Source organism: Homo sapiens, chromosome 9, assembly GCF_000001405.40.
Source record: "Homo sapiens chromosome 9, GRCh38.p14 Primary Assembly".
Lineage (NCBI taxonomy): Eukaryota > Metazoa > Chordata > Mammalia > Primates > Hominidae > Homo > Homo sapiens.
In genome coordinates, this window is record NC_000009.12 from 93,762,679 (window position 1) to 93,778,574 (window position 15,896).

Below are 15,896 nucleotides of genomic sequence, written 5' to 3' on the forward strand. Positions count from 1 at the left end.
TGCCACTGGACTCCAGCCTGGGTGACAGACAGAGACTTGGTCTCAAAAAAAAAAAAAAAAAAAAATAGAATTTCTAGAAAACAACATATGAAAAAACTGAAATAACCTTGGGTATGGTAGTGACATTTTAGATACAAAATCAAAGGCATGGTTCATGAAATAAATAATTGATAAGCTGGACTTTGTTAAAATTAAAAATTTCTGCTTTATGAAGGACAATGTGAAGAAAATGAGAAGACAAGCCACAGACTGGCAGCAAATACTTGCAAAAGACATATCTGATAAAGAACTGTTAACCAAAACATGAAAAAAAAACACCTTTTAAAACCCAATTAAAAAAAAACAAGAACCCAATTTAAAAAACTGAGCCAAAGACTTTAAGAGACACTTCACCAAACAGAATTTACAGATGGCAGATAAGCTTATGAAAAGATGCTCCATATCATTGTCATTAGGGAATTACAAATTAAAACAATAATGAGATACCACTATATATCTATTAGAATGGCCAAAATCCAGAACAGGGACAGCAAATGCTGGTGAGGATGTGGAGCAATAGAAACTCTCATTTATTGCTGGTGGAAATGCAAAATGGTACTACCACTTTGGAAGACAGTTTGGCAGTTTCTTACAAAACTAAACATACTCTTACCATACAATCCAGCAATTTTGTTCCTTGGTATCTACCCAAAAGAGCTGAAAACATGTCTACACAGAAAAACGTGCACATGGTTATTTACAGCAGCTTTATTCATGAATGCCAAAACTTGGAAGCAACCTAGATGCCCTTCAGTAGGTGAATGGATAAACATGTTTATCCACTCTGATATCCAAAGACAAGCCATGGAATGGGAGAAAATGATATTACTCTGCACGGAAAAGAAATGAGTCATCTAGCTATGAAAAGACATGGAGGAAGCTTAAATGCATATTATTAAGTGAAAGAAGCTGCTCTGAAAAGCCTACATACTGTATGATGCCCACTGTAGGACACTCTGGAGAAGGCAAAACCATGAAGACAGTAAAAAGGTCAGTGATTGCCAGGGCATTAAGGGGGAGCAAGCAGTGAATAGGTGGAGCACAGGGGATTTTATGGCTGTGAAACTATTCTGTATGATACTACAATGGTGAACATAAGTCATTACACATTGGGCTGCTATAGGAGCCCAAACACACTAAGACACCTGGGATATCTTTGAGCTTCAGTTTCTTCTTCTTCGAATCAGGTATGATTGTCCCCCACCCATGTTATTCCTTCCATCCTTCATTCATTTAGCAAATATTTATTCAACACCCAAAGCCAGCCCTGTGCTGCACGCTGTGGATATGGTGGAACTAAAGCAGACCAAGCACTTACACATTACACAAAACCTATAGAATGCACAACACTAAGGGTGAACACTAATATATACTGTGGACATTAATTAACAAAAACAGATCAGTTTTGGCCCATCAATTGTAACTTGGTTGCAGTTAGATGCCGTCTTGCATTTCATCCTCAAAACATTTCTGTCCCCCAGAGCTCAGAAGTCTCCTTGATTCACCCTTTTGCAATCCACCAGCTAACTCTGAAGCCTCTGCCTTCAGATACACCTACAGTCTGCCCCCTTCTTGCATGCACTTCTTGGCCATGGGGCTGAGCCCCCACAGTCCCTCTTGGACTGTCACACTTCCCCCTTGAGGCCTCCCTTTCCCATTTGTACCTCCACAGTCAGGCCCCACCCTCCTCTGCTCGCAGCCTTCTGGCAGCTTCCAGGGACCTCACCTGAACGTCCATGGCCCTGACTCATCTCCTTCCTCCACCGCCTCCACCATGGGCCTTCTTCACTTCTCAGTCTCATGCCTGCCCCCCTTCTGCCCTTTGCCCTTGCTGTCCCCTCTGTTCATCCTTGTGGATTTCTCCCTCACTGGCCACAAGACGGTTCAAATGCTTCCTCTCACTGAGGCCTACCTGAGGTCACCTGACTGAAACTGCCAGGCTCCATGCCAGCCCTCACTACTCCTGTCTTCCTCTCCTGAGCTCCTAGACCTCTGACAGATATAAAGTTTACTTTACACTGTGCTAACTGTGGTCTTCTGTGCTGAGGCATTAACTCAACAAGGGCTTGGTCTGCTTTAGTTCCACCATATCCACAGCGTGCAGCACAGGGCTGGCTTTGGGTGTTGAATAAATATTTGCTAAATGAATGAAGGATGGAAGGAATAACATGGGTGGGGGACTATCATAACTGATTTGAAGAAGAAGAAACTGAAGCTCAAAGATATCCCAGGTGTCTTAGTGTGTTTGGGCTGCTATAGCAAAATATCATAAACTGGGTGGTTTATAAGCAATAGAAATTTACTGTTCACAATTCTAGAGGCTGGAAAGTCCAAGACTAATATGCTGGCAAGTTTAATATCTGGTGAGGGCTCGTCTACTGGTTCATAGATGGCATCTTCTCTCTTTGTCCTTACCTGGTGGCGGGGAAGAGGGAGGTCCTGGGACCTCTTTTATGCCAGCACTAATACTATTCATAATGGCTCCACCCTCATGACCTAATCACCTCTCGAAGATCTTACCTCTTACAGTATTGCGTTGGGGGTTAGGATTTCAACAGATGAGTTTTGAGGAGAAAACAAACATTGAGACCATAGCACCAGGTCATACTGCTTTGGACTAAGAGAACTAACTCTCAGCAAGTTAGAGTTAGAGAGGCCATTAGAAATGTTGGTTCCCTATCCCCTTACTGCCCCATGGTTATCTCTGGAAAATGCTGAGGCACAGGACAGGCAGCATTTTGTCCAGATTCACATGGCAAACCAGGCCAAAGGCTCCCCTTTGAGCAAGAGGAAGTATCAGCACCACAACCTCACGCCTGCCTGCTGCTACTGAGGCAGATCCCAATCTACTACCAGGTCACAGGCACTCCTGTGGAAGAAGTGAAAAACATGCAGGAATAGGTGGATAAGCAGAGAGGTACAAGAAAGAACCAAAATGAAATACTATTAATAAAAACACTGTAACAGAAATGAAGAATGCCCTTAATGGCCTGGCCATTACACTGGACACAACCAAGGAAAGAATTAATGGGTTTCAAGATAAGTGAATAGACACTACCCCAACTGAAATGAAAAAAAAAATCTTTGGGATAATTTCAGAAGGTATAACATATGTATAATTGGAACACCAGGAGAAAGGAAAACAGGGCATAAAAATATATTTGAAGTAATAATGGCCAAGAACTTTATAAGTTAAAGACAGACAACAAATGACACATTCAGAGGGCTAAGAGAACAATGAGCAGCATAAATACCAAAGAAACTACACCTAGGCATATTTATGTATTCAAATTGCAAAAAATCAAAGACAAAGAGAAAATTCTGAAAGAAGCTAGAGGTGAGAAAATTACCCTTTCTATAGACGAGAACAAAGATAAGAATTACATCAGACTTCTCATTAGAAACCATACAAATAAGAAGGGAAATAATATTTAGTTTTGAAAGAAAAAAAAACTTCACCAACCTAGAATTCTGTATCCACCAAAATCATTCTTCAAAACTGAAAGAGAAGCAGCAAACAAAAAGTGCTTCCATGGGTGAATGGATAAATAAATTGTGGTACATCTGGACAATGGAATATTATTCAGTGCTAAAAAGAAATGAGCTATCAAGTCACAAAAAGACATGGAGGATCCTTAAATGCATATTGCTAAGTGAAAGAAGCCAGTCTAATAAGTCTACATATTATATGAGTGCAACTGTAGGACATTCTGGCAAAGGCAAAATCATGAAGATAGTAGAAAGAACAGTGATTGGCAGGGGTTCAGCAGAAGAAGGATGAATATGCAGAGCACAGAGGATTAATAATAATGAATCAAGATTGGTTCATTACTTGTAACAAATGTACTGGCCAATGCAAGATGTTAATAACAAGCATAACTTGGAGATATTGCCAGTTCTGCTTCAGACCAGTGCAACAGTGTGACTATCACAATAAAGTGAGTCACGTGAATTTTTTGGTCTCTAAGTGCACATAAAAGTTATGTTTATTTTATATTGTAGTCTATTAAGTATGCAATAACATTATGTCAAAAATATACATACCTTGATTTAAAAATATTTTATTACCAAAAAATACCCTCATTTGAGCCTGCAGTGAGTTATAATCCTTTTGCTGGTGGAGGTTCTTGCTTCAGTGTTGATGGCTGCTGACTGATCAGGGTGGTGGTTGCTAAAGGTTGGGGTGACTGTAGCAGTTTATAAAAATAGGACAACAATGAAGTTTGCCACATCAACTGACTCTTCTTTTCATGAGATTTGTCTATAGTATAATATGCTGTTTGATAGCATTTGGCCAAAGTAGAACTTCTTTCAAAATTGTAATTAATCCTTTCAAATTCTGGCACTGCTTTATAAATTAAGCTTATGTAATATTCTAAATACCTTGTTGTCATTTTAACAATGTTCATGGCATCTTTATCAGAAGTAGACCCCATTTCAAGAAACCACTTTCTTTGCTCATCCATAAGATGCATCTTGTCATCCATTCAAATTTTATCAAGAGATTGCAGCAATTTAGTCACATCTTTAGGTTCCACTTCTAATTCTGGTTCTCTTGCTGTTTCCACGACATCTGCAGTGATTTCCTCCATGGAAGTCTTGAATCTCTTCAAGTCATCCTTGAGGGTCGGAATCAACTTTTTCCAAACTCCTGGTAATGTTGATATTTTTACCTCCTCCCATGAATTACAAATGTTCTTAATGGCATCTAAATTTGTGAATCCTTTCCAGAAGATTTTCAATTTACTTTGCCTAGAGCCAGTAGATGAAATATTATCTTAGACAGCTATAGCCTTTTAAAATGCATTTTGTAAATAATAAGACTTGAAAGTTGAAATGACTCCTTGATCCATGGGCATAAAAGCATGTTCATCTCCTTGTATATCTCCATCAGAACTCTTGGGTGACCAGCTGCATTGTCAATGAGCAGTAATGTTTTGAAATGAATCTTTTTTTTTCTGAACAGTAGGCTTAAAATATTTAGTAAACCATGATGTAACTAGATATGCTGTCATTCAGGTTTTGTTTTTCCATGTGTAGGGCACAGGTAGAGTTGATTTTGCATAATTCTTAAAAGCTCTAGGGTTTTCAGAATGGAAAAAGAGCATTGGCTTCAATTTAAAGTCACCAGCTGCATTAGCCCCTAACGAGAGAGTCAGCCTGTCCTTTGAAGCTTTGAAGCCAGCCATTGACTTTTCTTCTCTAGTGGTAAAAGTCCTAGATGGCTTCTTCTTCCAAGATAAGGCTATTTCATCTACATTGAAAATCTATCTTTTAGTGTCACCACCTTCATTAACTAGCTAGATTTCTGGATAACTTGCTACAGCGTCTACATTATCACTTGCTCCTTCACCTTGCGCTTTTATTTTTTGTTTTTTGTTTTTTTTTTCTGAGATGGAGTCTCACTCTATTGCCCAGGCTAGAGTGCAATTGCACCATCTTGGCTCACTGCAACCTCCACCTCCCAGGTTCAAGTGATTCTCCTGCCTCAGCCTCCTGAGTAGCTGGGATTACAGGCACGGACCACCACACCCAGCTAATTTTTGTATTTTTAGTAGAGATGAGGTTTCACCATGTTGGCCAGGCTGGTCTTGAACTCCTGACCTTGTGATCTGCCTGCCTCAGCCTCCCAAAGTGCTGGGATTACAGGTGTAAGCCATCGCGCTCGGCCCACCTTGCACTTTTAACTTATGAATATGGCCTCTTAAGCCTCATGAACCAACCACTGCTGGCCTCAAACTTTCCTTCTGCAGCTTCCTCACCTCTCTCAGCCTTCAGAGACTTGAAGAGAGTTAAGGCCTTTCTCTGGATTAGGCTTTGGCTTTAGGGAATGTAAGTGGTTTGATCTTCTATCCAGACTGCTACACCTTTCTCTATATCAGCAATAAAGATAGTTCACTTTCTTATTATGCATTCACTGGAGTAGCACTTTTAATTTCCTTCAAGAATTTTTCCTTTGCATTCACAACTTGGCTGTTTGGTACAAGAGGCCTAGCTTTCAGCCTGCCTTGGCTTTCAACATGCCTTCCTCACTAAGCTTAATGATTTCTAGCTTTTAATTTAAGGTGAGAGATGTGCAACTCTACCTTTCACTCACATAGAGGCCATTGTAGGATTATTAATTGGCCTAACTTCAACATTGTTGTGTTTCAGGGACTAGACAGGTCTGGGGAAAGGAAGAGAGATGGGGAAATGGCCAGTCAGTGGAGGAGTCAGTACGCACACATATTTATAGAATAAGCTCACATGGATGTGGTTCATGGTGCCCCAAAACAATTATAATAGTACATTAAAGATCGCTGATCACCACAACAGATATAATAATAATGAAAATGTTAAAATATTGTGAGAATTTCCAAAATGCAACACAGAGACACTAAGTGAAAAGATGCTGGTGGAAAAATGGAGCTGATAGACTTCCTCAGCACAGGATTGCCACAAACCTTCAATTTGTAAAAAACACAATAACTGCAAATACAATAAAGTTAAGCACAATGAAACAAGATATGCCTGCAATAGAGGGACCTGTGTGTGTTGGGGCAAGCGGGGCAAAGGAGAACTCTCTGTACTGTATGTTCAATTTTTCTGTAAACATAAAACTTCTCTAAAAAATAAAGTCGATTTTTAAAAAGTAATGCAGAAATCAGACAACCAGTGAAATGTTTGGGTCAGGAGTTGGGTTTGTTTTCTAAAAGTGATAGAGTTATATTTGGCAAGCGGAGGTGATGAACACTTAGCTGATACTAACTACGTGACTATCTTGACTTTATTAAAGTATTTTCATTTTTGTAGAAATCTTTTCGTGTGTGTGTGTGTGTGTGTGTGTGTGTAGATGTAGAAACTTGGATCTACATAAATAATGAGAGAGAGAGTCAGAGAAGGAATAAAGGTAAAATAAAAATCTTTTTCTATTCTTCATTAATCCAAAATGCAACTGTCTTTTAAAAGTATTATTATTTTGTTTAAAGCATCATTATTTTAGTAAAAATGTACTGAGTGATTATAACTTATGGATAAGTGAAATCAATGGCAGCAGTGTCACAAGAGATGGGAAGTAGTAATTAAGAATACTCTGTTATAAGGTACCTGCATTAAATGTGAAACAGAAGAGTGTTGTTTGAAGGTAGACTTAAATTAGTTAAAAATGTATATTACAACCTCTAGGACAAGCACTAAAAACTTTAAAAGGAAGTACAATGGGTACACCAAGAGAGAAAGTAGAGTGGAATCATAAAATACTCAATTAGAACAAGAAAAGGCTGAAAAGGAGCCTCTAGTAAGAATGAAAACAGTTATAAACATGGTTGATATTAATCCAAATATATCCATAATCACTTTAAATGTGAAGGGCATAGGTACACCAGTGAAAAACAGATTGTCAGAGTGGATAAAATACAAGACCCAATTATATATGGTATACAAGGAACACACTTTAATAATAATGATTCTCATAAATTAAAAGTAAAGTGATGGAGAAAGATATACCATGCTAACATTAATTTTTAAAACATGAAATAGCTATGTTTATTTCAGGTATAGAAGACCTCACAGCAAGAAAAATTATTAGGGATAAAGAAATACTAAATAATGATGAAGTTAATTATCCAAGAAAACATAACTATCCTAAACATGTATGCACATAACATCAGATAATTAAAATACATGAGGCAAAAACTTATAGAACTGCAAGGAGAAATAGACAAATCCACTACATAGTGGAGTCTTCAACACTGGATCAAAAAGGCAGAAACAATAAGCATGTACTTGATCTGAACAGTATTATTAAACAAGTGGATATAACTGGCATTTATAGAATGCTCTATCCAACAATGGCATAATGCATATCCTTCTCAATCTTACATATAACACTAATCAAATTAAACCACACTCTGAGCCACAAAATATAGCTTAAAAAGTTTAAAAGATAGAAATCACATGAAGTATGTTCTGGGACCTCAATAGAAGTAAAACATATGTCAATAATGGAGAGATTGATAAAAAAAATCCCCAATATTTGGAAATTAAATGACAAATTTCCAAATTACATATGGGTCCAAAAAAGTCTCAAGAAAATTTTAAAATATTTTGAACTAATAAAAATAAAAATGTCTGAGATGCAGCAAAAGGGAAATTTACAGTATTAAATCAGTTATTAAAAAAGGAGGCTCTAAAATAAGTAACCTAAACTTCTACCTTAGTAAAATAAAGAAATAAAAATAACCGAAACCTAGAACAAATGAAGAAAAGAAATGATAAAAATTAGAGGAGAAATAAATAAAACTGAAAATAGGAAAACGATAGAGAAATCAATGAAACTGAAAGCTTCACTGGCTCTTTGAAAATAAAAATAATATTGATAAATCTTTAACCAAGCTAATCAAGAAAAAAACAGAGAAGACTCAAATTAGCAATATTAGAAATAAAAGAGGGGCCATCACTACTGATCCCACAAATTTTAAGAGCATAATAAAGAAATACGAAGAACAATTCTTTGCCCACAAATTTGATAACCTAGGTGAAATGGGCCAATGTCTTAAAAGACACAATCTGCCAAAACTCATGCAAGAAGAAATAGACAATCTGAATTGAGTGAAGAATTGATAACCTTCCAAAACAGAAAGCATCAGGTGCAGATGGGTTCACTGGTGAATTCTACCAAACAATTAATGAAGAAATTATACCAATTCTATATAATTCTTCAAAAAAATATATGAGGACAAAATACTTCCTAACTAATTCTACAAGGTCAGCATTTACCCTAATACTAAAACAAGACAAAGACATTACAAGAAAGAAAAACGACAGACCAATATCTTTCATAAATTTAGATGCAAACATTCTTAACAACATATTAGCAAATCAAATCTAACAATGTATAAAAAGTGACCAAGTGGGATTTGTTCCAGAAATGCAAGGCTGGTTCAACTTAAAAAAAAAAACACACACAAGAACAGAAAACCAAATACCATGTGTTCTCACTTATAAGTGAGAGCTAAACATTGGGTACTCATGGACATAAAGATGGCAACAATAGACACTGGACACTGTTAGAGTGGGGAGGAAGAGAAGAAGTCAAGGGTTGAAAACCTAACTGTTGGGTACTAAGCTCCCTGCTTGGGTGATGGGATCATTCATACCTCAAACCGTCACATGTATGCTGTGAATCTAAAATAAACATTGAGATTAAAATCAATCAATCAATCAATATGACCCACTATATCAACAAACTAAAAAAGAAAAATCGTGTTTATATTATTGATGCAGAAAAAGCATTTGACAAAACCAATACCCATTGATGATATTAAAAAGAAAAACTTCTCAGCCAACTAGGAATAGAGGGGAACTCTCTCAATTAGATAAAGAATATATGCAAAAAACTGACAGCCAACATCATGCTTAATGGTAAGAAACTGGATGCTTTCCACCTAAGACTGGGATTCACATTACTTTATTTCAGGACTTACTATGAGGCTATAGTAATAAAAAATCATGTGTAATGGTTTAAATTATGTGTCAACTTGACTGGATAATGGAGTGTTCAGATATTTGGTCAAATATTCTGAGTGTTTCTGTGAGGGTGTTTTTGGATGAGATTAACATTTAAATTAGTAGACAGAGTAAAGCAGATTGCCTTCCCTAGTGTGGCTGGGCCTCATCCAATCAGTTGAAGGCCTGAATAGAACAAAAAGGCTGAGCCTCCCCCAAGTAAAACAGAATTCTTTCTGCCTGCCTGCCTTTGACTGAGACATCAGATTTTTCCTGCCTTTGTACTTATTCTGAAACATTGGCTCTTTCCAAGTCTCAAGCCTGAGAGCCTCTGGACAGGAACTACACCATCAGCTCTCTTAGTTCTCAGGCATTTGAGCTCAGGGTTTGGGACTCAGACAGGAACAAAGCCATAGGCTCTGTTGGGTCTCCAGCTTGCAGTGTGACCCAGATCTTGGGACTTCAGATTTTAGGATTTACCTGCCCTCATAATCTCATGAACCAACTCCTTATTAGAAAGCTCTTTTTATATGCCTATCTCCTATTGGTTCTGTTTTTCTGAAGAACCCTGACTAATACAGATTTTGGTGCTGAAAGTGGTTCTAAGTGGGGCAGAATTTTAAGGATGAGTTTTCCTGAATTTGTTCTGGGGTTTCTAGAATAGGCTTTCTAATCTGAATACATTTAAAATGCTAGTGACTCTATTTGTAGTAGCAGAAAGAACCCTCCCAGAAACTAAATTTCTTGTTACCTTGATCATGAACTTCCTAGCCTCCAGAATTGTGAGGAAATAAGCATCTGTTGTTTAAGCTGCTCAGTCTGTGACATTTTGTGATGGCAGCCCAAGGAGACTAATACAGATTTTGATATCAAGAAGTGGAGTGTTGCCGTAACAAATACTAAAAAATGTAAAGTGACTTTGGAACTTGGTAGAGGATGAAAGAGTTTTGAAGTGCATGCCAGAAAAAAAGCCTAGATTGTCTTGAAGGGTCTACTGGTAGAAATATGGACATTAAATGTGCTTCTGGTGATATTACAGATGGAATGAGGAACATACTATTGAAACTGGAAGAAAGCCAACCCTTGTTATCAAATGACAAGGAACTTAACTGAATCATGTTCTAGTGTTATTATAGGACCACCAGGTTCATATGCCCACTGTGCAGTAACAGACCAATAAATGAAGACAGCAGGGTTCACGGTAGAGAAGGAGTTGAATGCTTTCAGGACAAGGAGATGGGAAGACATCCTCAAATCCATTTCTGTGAGGAGTTCTGGGCTGGGATTTTAAAGGGGATCATGGAGGGCAAGGGGCTAGAAATTGGGTTTTTTGATGGGTTGCAGGAAACAGCATTCTTTAGTGAGTCAGCTCCTGCAGGGTTGTTCAGACCAGTTGACATCTGTAGTTTCACTAGTATGCAGGACCAGAAAGAGTACTTCACATGGAAAATGTAATGTTTCACAATGTTCAAGTTATTAGCTATGGAGCACTTACGGGCATCTATTATTCTGTGACAGGATCTATGTGATTCTGAGGCAACAGGCACCAAACAACTATGCAGAAGTGGCCCAGAGAGCAGGGTGACCTAATGACTAATGTTGGATGTGCCACAAGCTTAATTTGTTCTCATTTCTCCCCCTCCTTTCTTTCCTGATTAATTTTATAATGTTCACAGGGACAGTTTTAGTGTTTTGTGGAAGGTAGAACATGCAAATGATGAAACTGGATATTTAGCTGAGGAGATTTCTAAGCGAAGTTGATGGTACAGCCTGGCGTCTCCTTACTTCTTATAGTAAAATGTGAGAGGACAGAGATAAAGTGAGAGAAGCATTAAGCAAAATGGAAGTAGAACTTAAAATTTTTTTTAAAACTTCTCAGCCTATCCATATTGCAAAAAATGAAAACCTTTTTCTGAAGACAACACTAGAGGTGTGGCTGGATAATCCTTTCATAAGGAGATTGCCCATGGAGTTAACCAACCATCTCAGCAGAAGCCAGGAGTAGAGATGAGATTATTCCAGCACAGACACTGCCATCTTGGACCAAGGGGAACAGAGACAGGATGAAATGAAGGAAAGCCTTCAGAATTCTGGGACTGAACAGGATGGGATGACAAAGCTGTTTGGCTGTGAACATGCTTTATCCCTTAAGACAAAGGAAGAATGGCCCTGAAGGTGATTCATAGGCCATCTGGACTGCCACTCTTACCACAGGCCCAGGGAGCAAGACTGCTTCCTACTTGGTTTCAGAGGGTGAGGGTCCTTTCCTCAGCTGCAGCAGGCCAGGCTGTCCCACCAGTGCCTCGGTGGCAGGACTGGCAAAGAGCCATGGGGGCAGAGCGGGCACACAGAGCCAAGAGGGCAGGGTCATGGCTGACATCCTTTCGGGTGATGCTGCTGTGCCAGTGAGCCCAGAGGCAGAGCATCCAGCCAAAGGGGATTATTCTGGAGGCTTAAGAGCTAATGGAATTACCCTTGCTAGGTTTTGGACTTTCTTGGGACCCCTCACCTCTTTCTTTCTCCTAATTCTCCCTTTTGGAATATATATATCCTATGGATGGCCCGCTATTGTATCTTGGAAGCACACCACTTGTCTGGTTTCACAGGCTCAAAGCCAGAGAGGAATTTTGCCCCAGGATGAGTACCTCAAGTGTCACCCACACTTGATTGAGCAGATTTTTAGGCGAGACTTTGAACTTGGAATGACGTCAGAATGTGTTGAGAATTTGGGAGCTGTTGGAATTAGGTGACTGTATTTCGCATGTGAGAAGGACATGAATTTTGGAGCCAAAAGGCAGAATATTATGGACTGCATTGTATTTCCCCGCTCCAAATTAATATATTGAAGCCCTAACCCCCAGTGTGGACTATATCTGGAGATAGGGCCTTTACAGTGGTAAGTAAAGGCCCCATCTCCAAATAGGAGATGAGTTCCTAAGGGTGGAGCCCTAGTCTGATCAGGCCTGTGTCCTTATAAGAAGAGGAAGAACAACCAGAGGTCTCACTTTCTCTCTTTCTACATGCACAGAGAAGAGGCCACGTGAGGACACAGTGAAAGGTGGCCATCTACAAGCAAGGAAGAGAGGCTTTCAGAAAAATATAACTCTAACAGCACCTTGATCTTTTACTTCAGAACTGTCAAAAAAATACGTTTTTGTTGTTTAAACCACTTACTCTGTGTTATTTTGTTATGGAAGCCCTAGCAAACTAATACCATGTAGCATTGGTAAAAGAATGGACACACAGATTAGTGAAACAGAATAGAAAGTCGCAGGGCGCGGTGGTTCACGCCTGTAATCCCAGCACTTTGGGAGGCCGAGGCAGGTGGATCACGAGGTCAGGAGATGGAGACCATCCTGGCTAACACGGTGAAACCCCGTCTCTACTAAAAATACAAAAAATTAGCCAGGCGCAGTGGCGGGCGCCTGTAGTCCCAGCTACTCGGGAGGGTGAGGCAGGAGAATGGTGTGAACCAGGAGGCGGAGCTTGCAGTGAGCCGAGATAGCACCCCTGCACTCCAGCCTGGGTGAAAGAGTGAGACTCCGTCACACACACACACACACAAAAACAGAATAGAAAGTCCAGCAATAGGCCCACACAAATATAGTTAACTGATCACTGGCAAATGAACAAGGCAATTCAAGGGAGAAAGCATAGTCTTTCAATATATGTTGCTGAACAGTTGGTCATCCATACGGAAGAATAAAAAGAATTTAGACACTCAGACTTGATACAAATATTAATTCAAAATAGATCATAGACTTACAAGTAAAATGCAAAACTACATAACTTCTTGAAGAAAACAAAGGAGAAAATCTACATAATCTTTAGTTTGGTGATATTTTTATGTAGAATACCAATAACACATTCCATAATAACAGATAAATTGAACTTTATTAAAATTAACCACCACTACTCTGTGAAAGACACTGTTAACAGACTGAAAAGAAAAAACAGGGCATAGACTTGGAGAAATATATGCAAAACACGTATCTGATCAAAGACTTGTATCCAAAACATACAAAAAATTCTTAAAACTCAATAATAAAAAACCAAACAACCCAATTTAAAAATGGGCAAAAGATCTAAGCAGATACCCCACCAGACAAGATATACAGATGGTAAATAAGTATATGACAAGATGCTCAACATATGTCATTAGAAAATTGCAAATTTAAGCAACAATGAGATGCTACTGCATACGTACCAGAATGGCTAAGCAAAAACAAAACCTGCCAATACCAACTGCTGGTGAGGATGCAGAGCCACAGGGACCCTCCTTCATTGCTGGTGGAAGTGCAAAATGGCACAGTTGTTTCAGATATTTGGCAGTTTCTTATACAACTAAACATACTCTTGCCATATGATCCAGCAATCACACTCCCAGGTTTTAACCAAATGAAAGAAAAACTTCTATCTACACAAAAACTTGTATGTGAATGGTTATAGCAGCTTTATTTGTAATAACCCAAAGCTGAAAGCAATCAAGATGCCCTTTAACAAATGAGTGGATAAACAACTGGCACATGCACACACTGGAATATGAAAAAAAGGAAGAAAGAAGTGAGCTGTCAAGCTGTGAAAAGACAAGGATGACTCTTGAATGCATACTGCAAAGTCGAAGAGGCTAGCCTGAAAAACATTATAAACTGTGTTATTTCAATTATACGAAAACTTAGAGAGAGCATGGTGAAAAGCAGCCAGGCCCAGCCCTTGAAGAAGTGGCGAATCTTTCTCCCCACCTAGCCTTGGTGCCCTGAGGGTGGCAGAGGCCCCTCCCAGCCTGGACCCCGCCAGCCTAGAAGAAACCCCGACAAGCCGCCAGGACACAGCGCCTTTGGGTGGCAGCGGGTGTGGCGGGGCAGGAAGGCAGGTGTAGGACGCACACTCAGCTGTCTCTCTAGGCCTGGAACCACCAGCCCCAGGTCCCGGGGTGACCTCTGTCCTAACTCAGTGAGGTCTGCTTAGTCCTGGCCAGGCAAAGGCCTTAAGCTCCGGACCATGGCAGGGAACCAGTAGTGGCCACCCGGCCATCAGCCTTCCTTCTACCTGATCTTGATATTGCAGAGAGAGATGGTAGAAGGACATTCCTCAGTTGGCACACTGGAAATGCCACTACCCTTTGGGAAGGTTTGCTGGCCATTTCTAGAAGGCCTGTGTATATAACATGAAAAATCTGCTCTCAACTTTCCCCCAAGCGTTTAAAAGAAAACGTTTGCTACATCTGGAGGTTGCCCACATATGATAAAGAAGAGTTAGAAAATCACATGTGTTGTAAATGCTCATTTGTTTAAAAAAAATCATAGAAAATAAATGCCTTCTGGAGATGACTTTGAAATGGTCGCTGGAGCACCTCTGGAAGCCACACCAGGAGCAACCTGTCCACCTCTGTTCTGTGGGTTAGAGGGGATGGCTGGAAGACCTGAGGAGGAAAAGAAGGCTCTAGGCCAGACTGGGTCTATTGAGAGGCCATGTTCATATTTGAACCATTGTTTTATGTGAATATTTTGTTCCTCACTACTGTATATATAGTTGAGACTGCTAAGTATTGTTTTTTGAAATATTTAGTGTTTCTAGATGTTCTGAAGTGCCTGATAGATGTTAAAATTAAAAGTGGTAAAATAACACAGTTTGTAAAACTTGTTTATGTTAAAATTCATATGAAATACTGTTTTGGGGAGGGGATGGGATGGCCAAACCACCTGTTGAGCAACACACATTGTGTTTGTGCCCTGGTTCAGGGGAGGAGGGAAGAGGAGGAAGTGTGGAGAGCTCTGTGCCCGTGTGCTCACAGTGAGGCGGGATGGGCCATCGGTGCTCATGTCTGTGTGTTTTGTTTTACTTATCTGTGTGTATATGGTGTGTATAAAGGCCAAATGAGTCCTAACTTACATCTCATCTTTCTAGACCTTAAAGAGGTTGCCAGTGTATAACAAAAGTAGAATTCATAAACTAATATATTTTGTACATTTTGTTTTAAAATTCCTAGGAAAGATTGTCTTCTGAAAATCTGAGCATCATTGTTGATGTTCATGGAGCATCAACAATGGATGCTTGATGGAGATAGGCAGGGTCCTAGGTCAGAATGCCCATATTTCAAAGACTCTTTCAAATTATAACTATGATTACATGCGTGCAGTTTATTCCAGACTGCTGTGTACATAGTGGACAAATTCACTCCTTATCTGAAACAGCTTGTCTATCTAGATATTTAGAAGTGCCAGACCTATGTTAAATGTAGAGGTAGTAAAATATCACTTTGTAAATGTCTTTTTCCTAAAATTCATAGGAAATATTGTCTTTTGGAAATGGATTTTTTTTTTTTTTGAGATGGAGTCTCACTCTGTAACCCAGGCTGGAGTACAGTGACT

General features: G+C 39.3%; 2 annotated features.

Annotated features, from left to right (window-relative positions):
• Positions 7,569-7,738: an enhancer, noted in NCBI's record as "experimental_109906 CRE fragment used in MPRA reporter constructs". NCBI's record gives its function as "activates a minimal promoter by MPRAs in K562 erythroleukemia cells, with activity observed for the introgressed 9:96532614 variant allele {active_cell/tissue: K562}" and the evidence as "EXISTENCE:reporter gene assay evidence [ECO:0000049][PMID:34662402]".
• Positions 15,727-15,896: an enhancer, noted in NCBI's record as "experimental_109914 CRE fragment used in MPRA reporter constructs". NCBI's record gives its function as "activates a minimal promoter by MPRAs in K562 erythroleukemia cells, with activity observed for both the introgressed and non-introgressed 9:96540772 variant alleles {active_cell/tissue: K562}" and the evidence as "EXISTENCE:reporter gene assay evidence [ECO:0000049][PMID:34662402]".